The sequence below is a fragment of the Homo sapiens genome, chromosome 2 (assembly GCF_000001405.40).
Source record: "Homo sapiens chromosome 2, GRCh38.p14 Primary Assembly".
Classification (NCBI taxonomy): domain Eukaryota; kingdom Metazoa; phylum Chordata; class Mammalia; order Primates; family Hominidae; genus Homo; species Homo sapiens.
Window position 1 is genome coordinate 162,030,308 of NC_000002.12, and position 15,536 is coordinate 162,045,843.

Genomic DNA, 15,536 nt, shown 5'->3' on the forward strand with positions numbered 1-15,536 from the left:
TGGAAACGCAGCCTGGCTGCCCTTCTCACTTATCAGAGAAGCAGGGCTTCCACCCATTTCTGCTAATTCCTAACAAAGTCACAAACCAGCCTCATCCTCCTGTGGATTTCACTTGCTGCAGGCTCTGTGGTGAAGGGATATGGCCTAACAGGAAAACTAATGAGGGTAACATGGGCAGAGGAAGGAGAGGCACTGATCCTGGCCAGGCTTCCCACTCCAGGAACTAGTAAATCACCAGGTAACAGGCTGAGCAGGTTACTAAGAGGCGTAACTCACCTGGTTTTGCTTGGCCCTGCTGGATCTTTGCATGAGGCCAGAAAACGGTGTATCATCATGTACTAGAGCATTTTTCCCAGAGAGCATCTAGAGTCTAGTTCTAGAAAAACCGCAACCTTACCAGTGTTAACAGAGACCAGAGCTATATTTTAACCGCAACCTTACCAGCGTTAACAGAGACCAGAGCTATATTTTAAACTCCCTAAAAAACACATTCCTGTGGCATTTCCAAAAAAACAATATTCTTTGGTAATATACATTCCACACAAAATCTCCATAGTGAGTCTTAAGTGTGACTTAAAGAACTACTGAGAACAAGAACTTATTGACGAATTCACATAAGGCCAAAAATCCGTCCTGAGAATTGCTTGTTTCTTGAGCCCAGCACTTCACACAGCTGTGCCTTGGAAACGGATCTGTAAGTGGGAAAGACTTCGTCTCTTTGGGGAATAAATGAGACAGCAAGAGCAGAGCACTGAGCACAGTCCCAGCCCATGAGAAGGACTCAATACATTTTTAACTAACTTATTCAAATATTTTGGTCCAGCAGGCATAGGCCTTGGTCCTATTCCCACCTTCCACACTAACTTGCTGTGTGACCTTGAGCAAATGACTTTACCTCTCTGAGCCTCGGTTCTCTCACCTGTACCTCACAGCGGTGTTGTGACTGTGTCCTGGAACCACTCCAGGTTCTGTCTAAGCTCCCAGGACTATTGCGGGAAGGAGGGAGGACAAGGACTAGACCTGCCAAAACTGAGAAGCAATCTCCCATTTGCTTTCTGGCCATACACTTCTATATTATATCTCACTTGAACAAAGGTTTCCAGGTCCTTAAAAAGTTTATAAACCATTGATAAGTTCTAAAGCCCCTTTCCGATGGAATCTTTTTCAGAGCAGGTGCTCATGGCTCATCCTCCCTACAGGCAGATATTGGTGACAGACCAAAAGGCCACACCAGGCTCTGCTGGTCTTCTCCTGGGAAGCACTGACTTTTCCATACTCTGTTTTTTCCGCCTCAGTGTCCTTCCTCCTCACTGCACCCTGCTGGAAGCCAACCTGCTCAATCTGCACATTCTCCAGGGGGTATTTTTTGTTCCTGGGGTCGTGAAAACCCCATGTTCTCCTCCTCAGAATGCCTCCATTCTATTGCTCGTATCTCTCTTATCACTCCTGGGGGCATTTATCTGAATGTTTTCTATCATCTACTGATGATAAGCGCTACAAGGGCACAGGCTTTCTATGGACATTTGGGAGTAGAAACAGAGGCTGCCCATCAATGATGATGATTAAAGGTGGCTGGATGGAATCGAAAGGCAGACTTTGAAACCTTTGGGTAAATTTTTACTCCATTGGACAAACCCAGAAACATTTTTAAAAACTTACTAATCGATTTTCCCCCTGAATGAATGGGTTACTACAGACATTTCTAACCAAAATAATGAATTACTAACCACGGAGCACAGCCCACAGCCTTCCTGATGTACTTAATGCAACTCCAGAGAAAATGGATGCTTCCGTACTGCTGTGATGGTGCCTTCAGGAATCTGAGGGCACCAGCTGTAATCACACAGAGGGAGACACGAAGCAGTATCTAATAGCTTGTTCGTTCAAGCCAGAAAGTCAGGTTTGAATATAGATTCGTACTTGGTCATTTTCTTAATCTGTAGGCCTCATTTTCTTATCTGTGAACAGGCACACGATGACAGTTGTTGGAAAGACAGACTGACTTTAAAGAGTCCTAAGATAAAGCATGTGATAATCCCTGTGTCTGGTACATGGTGAGTACTCAATGTATGCTAGTTGTTATTTAAAAACAGCAACAGGCCGGGCTCAGTGGCTCTCGCCTGTAATCCCAGCACTTTGGGAGGCCAAGGCGGGCAGATCATGAGTCAGGAGTTCGAGACCAGCCTGACCAACATGGTGAAACCTCATCTCTACTAAAAATACAAAAATTAGCCAGGCATGCACCTGTAATCCCAGCTGTACTCAGGAGGCTGAGGCAGGAGAATCGCTTGAACCTGGGAGGCAGAGGTTGCAGTGAGCCGAGATGGCATCACTGCACTCTAGCCTGGGCGACAGAGCAAGACTCTGTCTCAAAAAAACAAACAAACAACAACAACAACAACAAAAAAAAAAACAGCAACAAAACCAAATAAATAACAGAAATGAGTAAATATGGAGCTATCAGAGAGCCGTAAATTGTACCCAGTATGTTGGTTCCTTTACAGGAAAATAAACAAGGGGCTGAAGGTGCTCCATGGCGGAATTTCAAACCACTGACATGATTTCAGGAAGTGAAGTCTTGGAGCACAAAATGACCGTGGAGCTCCCTAAACTTAATCCACAGATTTCCTGCATTTCTCTAGGCCTTACAAGGCTCTTTGGGACCTGACCTTGTCCCTTCCACTCTCTTCTTCAGTCAAAAGGCTCCAGTCACCCCAACCTCCTTGCATTTCCTCCAACACCCCAAGCACATCTCCTCTGCAGGGCCTTTGCACTTGCTCTTCCTCTGCCCCCTGCTATTGGTGTGGATGGAGCCCTCCTGCTCTTCACATCACTGCCACAGTTCATTTTATCCATGAGGATTCCCTGACCTCCCCTCATCGGCCCCATCCATTTTGCTCTGCTCAGGTTTTCTTCACCACATTTATTGCTACCTGGCATATTACACTGCTCTTTTTTTATCTGGTTATTGTCTGTCTCCCCCAATTTGAATGTAGGCTCCATAACACCAGGGGCTGGCTGCTCTGTCCATTGTCATCCTCATCTCTAGAGTTGTGCCCAGCCTGAGGACGTGAAGATGCTCAACAAAGAGTTGCTGAAGGAAAGAATGAATGACTGTCAGCGGGGATGACACAGTGGGAGGCTGTGATCCACTTTGCCATTCACTTTTGAAAAGTTCTCCCTAGAAAGTGTAAAACTGTTTACAAGCCAAGCATTCAGGACAAGAGTCTTACCCTATCAACATAGAAGCAGGAGCAGTGATTTGTATGGAAGTTGCATTGGTGACTGAGCTGAGAGAGTCTGTATTTACAACAAAGAACTTTACAGTTGGATTCACAGCTCCTGCCTAGGAAAAAATAATCACAGAATTGGTATTGACAAAAAAAAAAAAGTAACATCGTTGCACACATTTTAAAACTGCACAAAAACGTCTGCATTATGGTCATAAAATTATCACAATCAGACATGTTCCAACAATTTAATATACATAAAATGAACATAAGGGAGAGTCATGAAATGCAACCTTTTCATGGTCAGGCAGAAACAGAATATGTGTATATATATATATATATATATATATATATATACACACTATATAAAACTTGAAGGTCCAAAGCACTTCTGTTTAAATAATGAATGTTTATATCTTTATAATTTATCACTTTGTGCAAGCAAGGATAAACCTCTTAAAATCAACTTTATTATTTGCAAATATACCCTGTCTCCCTGAGACCAAAAGTCTTTGATGCCTGTCAGTATGAAGAACACCTTGGGTTCTGCCAAAGACACCATCCACCAGAAAAATCAGTTTACCTGAGTCAACGGTGTCAATTAGGAAGCCATCATTTCCACTCTAAATTCAGGTTCACTATGTTGGAGCTTTACAATCAATATTATGACTGAAACCTATAAAACCTTTTTAAATATACACATAGATCTTCGATTGACAGATTAGTTAGAAATAATATGATATTTTTAGTGAGAACACTTTATGGAGTTTTTTTTGTATGTGCCAGTTTCGCTCATCAAAAAATAACATTCCACTGAAAACACATCTCCATATTTAGTCTCTGATCTTTTTTTTTCTTTTAACTTCCTCTGTCTTCCTAAAATGGCAGCTCTTCATAAAGCAAATTGAGTGAGTTGGTAAAAATAAAAATCCCCTTTTCCAAATTTCTTACAGAAAAAACACTTTACTATTAGATTCTCCTGCAGACAATACTGTAGCCATTATTATTACGGTACTAGTGAAGAATTCCTGGTTCCCTTCTAAACCCCATCTCACCCGGCTTACGCTGCTTAACAAAGCTCCTCAATTTTAGTAAACACGCAACCCTGACGAGGAGAACAGCTTTGAAAACCAAGACGTGACACTATTATTCCAAATGTAGGACATGAAAAATTTACATTAGTGCCAAATCTATAATAGAACCACTAAAACTAGTCATGTATCCCGTTAACTAGTAATACAATCTGATATATAACTGAGCTTTGCAACTTCGTCGAGGGCACAATCCAACTTCTACAAATGAGACGAGCTTCTAATTCAATTATAGCCTCTCTTTTCCTCCATTCAAGCATTTTCATTCCCCTTATCTCTTTCTAAAGCATTTTCCCCATTTTTTCTGCTTGTCATTCCTCAAAGTTTTTGGAGAAATTACAAAACCTTAAATCACACTCTTTCCTGGGATAATAAAAATACTTTAAAATTGCCAGATGCTGTTGACTTCAGCAAGAGTAATCACAGCAAGCTGTTGAAGAGAGACTGACAATATTTTCATTAGCAAGAAGGGATTAAATGAAACCATTCTCTTCCCATCAAATCATGGAACCACTGTACAAACAGGAGCACAGACCTTTGGATATGGAACCCGTACAGTCTTTGGGTACTGCAGTGACTCATCAGAGTAGAAGGAGTATTCAATAAGTGGGACTTCTGTGTCGTTAAATTGGGCATATGCTAAAAAAGTGCCGTTTGGAGACCACCACAGAGCAGAGTAGGCACTGAAGACTTCCTCTGAAAAAAGACACAAATTGTTCTGTTACAAGAAGTAGCTGATAAATTGGCTTTGGCATTCAAAATATTGTTCTCATTAGCTTTAGTAATTACAGTAGAGTTCAACTAATGAACCACTTTGCATTTGCTGGGCTTCCAAAATCAGAGTAATACAAATGAATAAAAATAAAATCTTCAAGGATATATCTGGATTGTAAAAATAAGTAACCCGTTGGACCATTTTAGAATATTTTAGCATGCAATATTTAATATAAGCTCTACATTTTTTTCTTTATCTTATAATCCTCTAAATTTATGCCTCAAAACATACTAAAAGTAAATTTCACACAGGAGGCTGATTCTCCTTTCTAATTTTCAAACAGTCAACATGCCAGCATACTCTCCCCAACTGGGCTCAGTTTGTACTGAGCCCGCAGGGTACTGGTGGGTGGTGTGTAGCTCCAGGCTATCAAACCAATATGGTGCCCAGAGTTTACTACTCTTGGCACAAACAAGGTGTGGGAAGGATAGATTTAGAATGGCAAGGAACTCCATTGAGACCCCTACTGAGAAACATCTCCTTGCCCAGCCCAGAAACTGAAAACTCCCTTAGATTAACACACTGCTCTGGTGTATATGCTGATGGGTAAGAGAAGAGGGTCAAAGAGGGAGGCAAATAAAAGACCAGATCTTGCTTTCCAGTACATTGTCGGGCTTCTTCTCAATCTCTGGCAAAGATAGCTCTTCCCTATGATTATTATGGGGTCTATACATGAGATATTCAATCACTGGCTCTTAATATGTTGAAAACTCCTTCACCAACCGGGAATGGAGGAATTAAGTGGACTGGGTGGAGACGCCTAGATATTCCACAAGTCTCATGTAAGTGTAAATGTAAAAGCAAAAGCATAGAAACTAGAATCTTAGGGTTGGGAAATCATGCATTCTAATCAGTTTTCAGATGCCTGATACCTCCTTTCAAGTTACTTCCAAATGCTTTTTTTCAACAACAAGAATAATAGCAAAAATAATTACTGTAATAAAATGTAATAATAATTATTGTGATGAGCAGCTGACATTCAATGAGTGCTAACTATGCGCCAGGTATTGATAAGCAATTGACATCTATCATCTCAGTTAAGGCTCACAATAACCCATTGTATTGATAAAGTGAGACAAGCTTGAAGAGGATCAGAAATTTGTCTAGGATCACATGGCTAAGAATTGGTAGAATCAAAAACCAACCCAAATCTCCTTTGACTCATGCTTTTCATCTCAGTGCTATACTGCCCTTTCCTGCCTCTATTTTAGTATTTCCAGTAATAGAAAACCTACTTCCGGGTTAAGCAGCCTATTCTTCCTTTGACTGCCTCATATCTATATCACTGATCTATACACTCTTATGTAGCAATTTAGAATTTACAAAACATATCATATTTAGTCTCTGGGTGGTGATTCATAGCTCATTGCACAAAGAAGGAAACTGAGGCATGGAGCAATCCAGTGAATTGCCTGAGACAAGAACTAGAACCCAGCCCTTATGACTCCAAGTCATGGTTTCTATTATAGTAAGAACTTGTTCATATACTGAGTTGACTTCTCATTCTTTGCAACTTTTACCCATTGATTCTGGTCTATAACACAGCTGCAATTACATAAAATCAATATAATCAGACCAAGATTTTGTTTTTTAGAATTACTTGTAAGTGTAATTAGCAGGTAGTGATGTTTGTCTTGAATTAGTGGTTATTTGGAATGCAGGACATATTTTTCTGTATTGACAATGTAGTAATTTCCTTCTAGGAACTGAAGCTATTAGAGAGGCCCAAATTGGAGCTGTGAAGCTGTTCTGCATGTGAATGGCCTAGTCGTGAACATGCAAAAGACTCCCTCCAGCAATTATCTACTTTAGAAAGAATGAAAGTGTTAGCTGCCCTCTTATCTTCCAGAGGGCCAGCTGTTTCTGAGAGAGGGTCACAGCTTTGGAAAGAGGCCACTCTTGTCAAGGATCCTGGAGGCTGGGTTGTGCTGTCCAAGGGTTAAAGAATCTCTAAGTAGCTAGTGCTAGTAAATTTCATTGTAAGTTTTAGTCAAGCACTTATTTCTAGGACATGAAAAGTTATCTTTCTTTTAATGTGATTTGTTGTTGTTGTTATAATGAGTCAACTAAACTTGACTTGGACTTGGTAAGAACTAAAATTAAGTCATGAAGAAAAATTATTTTTTTAAACTACAAAGAAGAAAAAAATAATACGATGAAATACAGATAAGTCTTTCTAATAAGTATGAGGAAACCTTGTGAACAGTTTGGAGCAGCCTCAAAATGCCTTTTATCTTGGCAAATACAGACACAAAAAATGTTTTTCTAATATTTTCTAAGTTTCTAAAATGTGTTCCTAATAGTTTCGACAACTCTGTATCCTAAAAGGGAGAATATTCCTTTTTAACTTTTTTAGTTTTATTAGTCACTTTTTCCTAAGCCTTTCTAATTGCTTTTTTATTCTTAAAAACAGGAAATCATAATTTGTCCAAGTTCAAATAAATACAAATCCTCTATAAAATAGGCATTTTCTTCCCCTGTACTCTCCAACCTGTATATATTATTTTATCATCTTCTCAATGTGATGGGATTATTTAGCTTTCCTTAGTAACTTTCGGGTTAGGTAGGCTTAATTAGAGAAATATCTGATGTTAATCTGGAGGCTTTTATGTTCCAGTAAAGGCAGAAAAGGTCTACCTACACAGAAAAGCCCTTTGTATCAATATAACAGAGACAAGAGGAGTATTGTCAGGCAATGAGGACAGAGGAGTGCTAGGAATAGTTAAATTCTTGGTCAAGGAGACATCTGGTGCTGTGAGTTCTAAGAGAAATCTGATGACATTTTAAACAATGAAACTTTTTTTCAATCTCATTTAAATTTTCCCATTGCAAAAGAAACATTTAACTATTTTAAAAGCTTATAGATTTTCTGATTTGAAAAAGCTTTAAAGTTTCTACCTTCATAAACCCAGTCAGTTATTCCATTATATATTATATCTTCTTTCCCCGTCCATGTGATTCTGTAACTTGGTAAATTTGGTTCAATTTTAACATAAATGTCATTGTTCCAAACATATGCCTAGAAGGAAAAAAAACAAGCATTGATATCTATAATACATGTCATATTTTTATCCCGGAATTGTAGAAACACTTATCTATTGCAAATGTAAGGATTACCATAGTCAAATATTCCATTCAAACAGGAAGAGTCATTTACTCCTTCCCTCTCATTCTTAAATTACAAGTGTACAGCCTATAATCCCAAAATAATCCTAAAACCATTAATAATGTGTTAAAAATGAGAAGTACATAACTACCACTATTTGAATGCTAAAGTATATGAGAAGACCGAGAAGGCTGACCACTTCTACAGGATGATATATGCTTGTATATTTCTTTATTGGGAGAGTGAGTAGAGAGAAGGCAGTTGCATTCTGGAAGAGAGAAGTTCAGCTGCAGACAAACATTAGATCCTGGGCAATAACACTATGTTCTATAGTGAAGTATTGAGTTCCTAAGATGTCTGCTTTGTATCAGGGTTAGTAACTTCTGCCTATGAAAAATTTGAGCCTATATTTTTCTGACAACTGGAGAGACTCACTAACCAATTTATGACCCACTGGTGACCATGTGACCCACTGTGTGTTGTTTGGAATCCTCTCTTCTGTAATCAGCTGCCTGGAAAAAAGATGAAAGGAAATATTATCAAAAAGAATAACTCACATTGGGGTTTCCTTAAAAATATGACAGTAGGAAAGCCTAATAGATTTTATTGGGAAGTCACTGACCTTTTATTTAAATCATAAATGTCATATGAAGCTGTGTAGGAATGCCTCCATTGCTATGAAAGAAAACAGACATTTCAGGCTTCTGTGATACTTGATAATTTGGCCACTCACTATAGGAGACCAAGATGATAGGTTTGGTAATATATGATTGTATAATTCTCACATGTTATCATATCTTATAATTTCCTCCGAGAATTTTGGGATTCAGAAGTATCCTAGAGATCATCTCATACAAACTCCTCTGGAGTTCATCTACAACCTAGCTCTGGCACCACCTCCTCCAGGACCACAGTGCACCAAAAATGTCATTTTGTACAAACATTATCCCTAGCACTCACCATAGTGTGCTAAGATTGCCTACTTAGAAAAATGTAAATTTTCACTTTTCACCTACTTTATTGGCAAAAGATTTAAACGATATATGATGCTATTGCTGATGGTGATGTGAAGAAATGTTTAACTTCATACACTGATGATGAAAGGTAAAGTGTTATAAAGTTTTTGGAAGCCCCCTGGCAAGATATATTAAAATTAAAATACATATATCATCAATATTTTAACAACCATCTCAAAAAGCTAGAAATGAAAGTCAAATTTTCAGTGACTGCAGAAGCATAGGGAAATAAAATTTTTTTTTAAAAAGGAAGTCAAACTAAATCCAAAGTAATTAGAAGAAATGAAATAATAAAGGTAAAAGCATTGATAAAGTAGAAAACACATAATAGAAAAAATCAACAAAGCCAAAACTCAAGTCATCGAAAAGACTAGTAAAATTGCAAACATAGTAAAACTTAGGAGTAAAACAGCACAAATGACTGGTATCAGAAAGGAAAAATGGGATATCACAACAGACTCCACAGATGTTAAAAGATCATAAGAGGCTATTATAAACATTTTTTTGCCAATACATTTTAAAAATTAGAGAAAAGCAAAAAATTTCTTGAAAAATAATTTCTTAAAAGTGAGAAAAATTCTGAATAGTCTTATATCTAATAAACAAATTGAATCCAGATATAAGAAACTTTACATAGAGAAAACTCCAAGGCAAAATAACTTTACCAGCAAACTTCTTGTTATTTATTCAAATGAGTTGAGAATTTATGCCCACACAAAAATCTACACACAAATGTTTATAGCAGCTTTATTCATAACTGCCAAAACTGGGAGGCAACTAAGATGTCATTCAACAGGTGAGTGGATAAACAAACTGTAGTAGAGATCCATACAATGGAATCTTATTTAATGATAAGAAGAATGAGCTATTAAGCCACAAAAAGACATGGAGGAATCTCAAACACATATTGCTAAGTGAAATAAGCCAATGTGGTAAGGTTACATATTGTATGATTCCAACAATATGAGTTTCTGGAAAAGGTAAAACTATGGAGAGAGTAAAGAGATTGGTGGTTGCTTGGAGACTGGGGGAAGGAAGGGATGAATGGGGGAAACACAGGGATTTTTAGCACAGTCAAAGTCATCTGTATAATACTATAATGGTGAAACATGTCATCATACTTTTGTCAAGAGCCATAGATTTGTCAGAATCCACCATAATGGTAGATACATGCCATATATTTGCCAAAACCCACAAAGAGTTAAGCCTAATGTAAACTATGGACTTAAATTAATAATGATATATTAATATTGGCTCATTTGTTATAACAAATGGACCACACTCATGCAAGACATTAATAATAGGGGAAAGTGGGGGAGGGAGGATAAGGGAGTATATGGGAACTCTCTGCTTATTTTCTATAAACCTAAAGCTGTTCTGAAAAATAAAGTGATATTAATTAAAAAAAAATGAATCAGAGCTAACCAGATGACTTGAAAGGAGTTTCACATGGTATCATTGAGTGAGAAATGCAATTTACAAAAAACTATAGGATTTTATTTTTATAGACCAAGCAATAACTAAAAACATCCCTATATATTTTCAGAGTTATATGAACAAGAAGAAAAATATAAAAATATGGAAAGATACATATTAGACTTTAGAGAGCCAAGTGAAGAAGGGAAGAAATAAGACCGAAGATAAAAATGTATATGATCACATATTTGCATTTATGAAATATTATGTCTGAATATAGATGCATATAAAAATTAAAGGTATTTTCAAATAAGTTACTTGTCTATACGTCTGCCTTCTTTACCATACTCCTAGAGGTAAGAAATTGTATCTTATTTATCTTTGGATGCCTGGAGTCTATTCTAGTGCAAGCCACATAGTGAGTGTTCAAGAAATACAACAAATTACAATAAAATTCTAATTGTATCAATGAGGATGAGACGGATGAAATAGGTATCCCAAGGACACCTAGCTATATAATAGCAGAGCTGAGATACAAAGTCAGAGTTCCTAACCTTAACTATTTATCACTTCTCTCCCTTCTATGCTCTCATGTCAACAAATATTTATTAAATTCTACTTTTCGGGAGTCATACATTCCTTTCTTGAATCCTGGATTATTTTGACACACCCCATGCTTGTTTCTGGGCAACCTCAAGCAAAATATTCACTAAAGCCAAAAGGTGTGGTACCAGCTAAAACTATTAAGATGGATTGAGATCACTGAGCATGACAAACCACCATGGGTTGTAAAAGAAAACCCATGATGTTTGGTATGTTCACTTCATCTTTTGAAACAGATTCATTATTCTATTTAGTTTATAAACACTGGCAGCTATCATCTATCAGACATTACTGGATAACACAGAGTCCCTCCCCTGGAGCAGCTTATAGTGGAATGGAGGATATGCAATAGTAAATGACAATAAAATAATCACAATAGGATGTGCCAAGAGATATAATGGAGGTGGGTGGGAGAGGCAGGAATCATAAATTAGGCCTTGGGGAGGCAGAGAGGATTATGGAAAAGATGATTCTTTGGCTGAGGTTAGTGACAGAGGGTGACTGGGAAAGAGTAAAAGAGCATCATAGCAAAGAGAAGCCGAATGCAAAGATAGGAAAGATCACATTTAAGAGCAAAGGCTTTGGAGTCTTCTAACCTGGATTCAGGCTTTCACTGTGTAACATGAAGCAAGTTTCTTTCTAAGCTTCCATTTTCTTTTTAGACAAATGAGGATAATGCCGGCAACAATCTCAGATGCATGAGAATGCATGAGAAGCACTTAGCAGGGTTCTGGAACATTGTCAACATAGAATCGATGACACAACTATTATCTCTATTTCCAGAGCACTAGGCAATGAGCAGAGATGCTAGGAGAACATTCATACCAGACTGTGGGGGTACTTATCCACTCACTCACTCACTTGCTCATTTATTTATTTGTAGCCACAACTTGGAAGTGATAGCACTAACTCAGTCATGGAGAAGTCACATAGTAGGATCTAAAAAACACTAAAAGGTAGACCTCCAAGGAAATGTAATCAAATTAGACTTTTCTTTTTTCTAGATACATTTCATAAGAGTCACTTAGTCAAAACGTATATGCTGTACAGAAAATTCTACTGGACTCTCTTGAAAGTAAAAAAAAAAAAAGAAAGAAAAGTAGTAGAAGATATAGATCCTTAGTTTCAATAGCTTTATAATTTAGCACTTTGCAATAAAACATGTATTCATTTAACAATGATGTTCAGCATCTGCTATGTGGCCCTGTCCTAGGCACAGAGGTGTGGCAGTGAATAAATCACAGGGAAACTGGCACCAAATAAGGCAGGCAAAAAATAAGCAAAGAAATCAATGACAAAATATCACAAAATGTTGTGATGAAACTAAAATGGGTTAACGTGACAGAGACTGATTTGTGGGGTGTGGGTGGAAGAGCATGGCAGGGGACAATGTTTGACAAAGTGACCCAAGAAATCTGGACCTGAGTTAATAGAGAGAAGCATATGATGATGGAGAAGCTTCCATGAGGAAGCAATAGCAAGTGATTTTGCCTTTAGATGGGAATGAGGGTGATGCTTGAGAAAAAGAAAGAGCTGTGCAATTAAAGGTTCTCAACTCAGCATCATGGAATCTCCAGGAGGCCCACAGCTATGCTGAGTTAGTTGCTTTAGGGTAGGCCACAGATATCCGTGTTTTTTCAAAAGCTCCTCAAGTGATCCTAAGGTGCAGATGAGACGAGAAGCTCTGGCCAAGCATGCCGAGTGCAGGAGAAGCGGGTAGGAGATGTGTTCAGCCGGGCAGACTGTGTTCAATCACACAGGCCTCAGGATGCCAGGGTTAGAGCTGGTGTTTTATTTTGAGTGTGATGGGAAGGCACTGTAGGTGGCATAGGTGTGGCATAAACTAATTTAGAATTTAAAAGTAGTACTTTCGATACTGTCTGAAGCATAGATGGCAGGGGGAAGGGGACAGAGTGAAAAAAGCAAAAGCAGTTAAATACACGGGTAAACTCCAGTGACACAACAAATACAAATCTCCAACCGTGGCTGGCCAACTAAGGGCCACCAGGGGAATACACGCATTCGTGCACATCAAATGGCTTTTGTTGAACCTGGCTATATAGTAAGGTGAGCTGGTATTACCTTTCTGTTTCTACCTTACCTTCATATGTTAGTCTTTAACATGGACAACTGTTATTCAGGGGTTCTCAGCCCTGGTTGCCATTACAATCACCTATGACAGTTTAAAATATACTGAGGCTCATCAGGCACAGTGGCTCATGCCTGTAATCCTAGCACTTGGGGAAACTGAGGTGGGAGAATCGTTTGAGGACAGGAGTTTGAGACCAGCCTGGGGAACACAGTGAGACCCTATTTCTAAGAAAAAATTGAAAATTAGCAGGGCATGGTGGTGCACACCTGTAGTCTCAGCTACTCAGGAGGCTGAGGTAGGAGGATTAGTCAAGCCCAAAATGTTGAGGCTGCAGTGAGCCATGATCATACCACTGCACTCTAGCCTGGGTGACAGAATGAGACCTTGTCTCAAAAAAAGAAAAAAAGATACTGATTCTGGCTTTACCCCAGAAACCTCTGTTTACTGATCTGGGGATTGAACCTGGACACTGGGAAGTTTTAAAAGTTTCTCAAGTAAATTAAGTGAATGTATTCTATAGATAGAAATAAGAAGCACTTAATTAAACAAACAATAATCCATTAATTGGCAACAGATGTGTCAAAGTTGGTACAAGATTCCGATTCACTTACAGTTAATTTTAACAGAACATAGAGTCTTCATGTCCAGGAGAGTGAGCCCAGCCCAGCAAATCCAGGGTAAATATTACGATTAACAGTCACCATCCTGAGATGGTAAATGCAGTAGGGAATGGTTTGCTTGGCCTGAGTACAGCAGTGTTGGTGTGTGAGTGTTGGTGTGTGAGTGTTGGTGGGTGAGTGTTGGTGTGTGAGCGTTGGTGTGTGAGTGTTGGTGTGTGAGCGTTGGTGTGTGAGTGTTGGTGTGTGAGTGTTGGTGTCTCCTCAATATTATTTATCCTAGAAAAGGAAGATCAGGGGTGGGAATCCCCAGCTTTGTATTTTGCTTGCAATACAGGGTATCTTTACAAATTTGTAATCTTCACTACATGTCTCAAAACTTCCTATACTTGAACAACTTGTCAAATCCATGAGTAACCAAAAAGCTGTAGTTAAAGTTATGGCCACCCATATCCATCCTAAACATGAAGAGGATGTATGATTAAGCTGTAACCTTTCCTGAATGTGTGAGGATGTGGAGTTGAGCTGGGTAACTGGGGAAAGCTGAGTGCTCTTGATGGAATCTTTACGATCTGTGGTGAGGCTCTCCTCCTTAGAATAGTTTGTATATGGTGGGGCCCGAAGGTTGGGAGATGGTCTGGGCCATCTTGCGGAATCTTTTCTGGAGGATGGAAAGTTTAACTCTTCCTTTTCTTTTTCTTTCTTTCTTTCTTTTTTTTTTTTTTGACGGGGTCTCACTCTGTCCTCTAGACTATAATGCAGTGGCACAGTATAGGTAACTGTAGCTTCCAACTCCTGGGCTCAAGTGATCCTCCTGCTTCAGCCTTCCCTCCTAAGTAGCTGGGACTATAGGTGCATGCCACCATGCCCGACTTTAACTCTTTTAAAAACACATATCTATGGAGGCTCTTACTATACATAAAGCTGTGACAAAGGAAATAAAGGGTTCTGTCATTAGGTGTACAAATCAGACATGTAAACTTACTTTTAAATATGTGTGTAAGTACAAATTTTTATTGACTTATGTTATTAGTATATATTAGAACAATATAATATTAACTGTGCTTTCTAGTATTTGAAAGCACTAAAAATGAATTTCTTTTAAAACACTGAACTTGTCTTTAAGAATGAGAATGACTCTGATTCTGAATTAATGAGTTTTAGTGCCTATTACATTACTTAGATATTAATCTTAAGTATCCATACACTTGAAATCGGTTATAACATAGCATACTCTTGGATTATTTAAATGTTACAGTAAGAAAGCATTTATTTTACCTTCACGTAGTTGTATTCTAAGAGAATAAACTGCCCATCAGGAGATATTGAATAATCATTGATAGAATGTCCAAACTCATCCTGTCAAACAAGAAGAACAAAGAAAAATTGAACAATTCCATTTCATTGCCATCACTGTGCACTTACTTCATAGGGGGTACTGTTCTAGACATGTGGCTTGTGCTTTGGGAAGTCCTAATCTAGCAGAGGTGGCATATTCACCCACACAAATGACCGTGATGCAAGGTAGGTGGCGATCAATGTTAGAAAGCCAGAAAGGGAAGGATTAATCCTAAGAGGAAAGATGCCTGC

The 15,536-nt window shown here is 38.4% G+C and overlaps 1 protein-coding gene across 8 annotated transcripts in view; it reads right to left on the bottom strand.

Annotated features, from left to right (window-relative positions):
* The window catches only part of DPP4 (dipeptidyl peptidase 4), an 81,971-nt gene that overhangs the window by 38,063 nt on the left and 28,372 nt on the right, over positions 1-15,536 (bottom strand). For 5 of the 8 annotated variants that reach the window (NR_166823.1, NM_001379605.1, NM_001379604.1 and 2 more), the window contains 6 exons: positions 15,225-15,305; positions 8,825-8,877; positions 8,642-8,714; positions 7,995-8,115; positions 4,857-5,017; positions 3,234-3,346 (listed from right to left, as the gene is read on the bottom strand). Coding sequence is in view for 4 of the 8 variants with exons in the window: in NM_001379605.1 (NP_001366534.1) it covers positions 3,234-3,346; positions 4,857-5,017; positions 7,995-8,115; positions 8,642-8,714; positions 8,825-8,877; positions 15,225-15,305 (602 nt within the window). In the remaining 4 variants the exon portion in view is untranslated. Of the gene's footprint in view, positions 1-1,727; positions 1,959-3,233; positions 3,347-4,856; positions 5,018-7,994; positions 8,116-8,637; positions 8,715-8,824; positions 8,878-15,224; positions 15,306-15,536 lie in introns of all 8 variants that reach the window. The other 3 variants (NR_166822.1, NR_166824.1, NR_166825.1) reach the window with 3 other exon arrangements.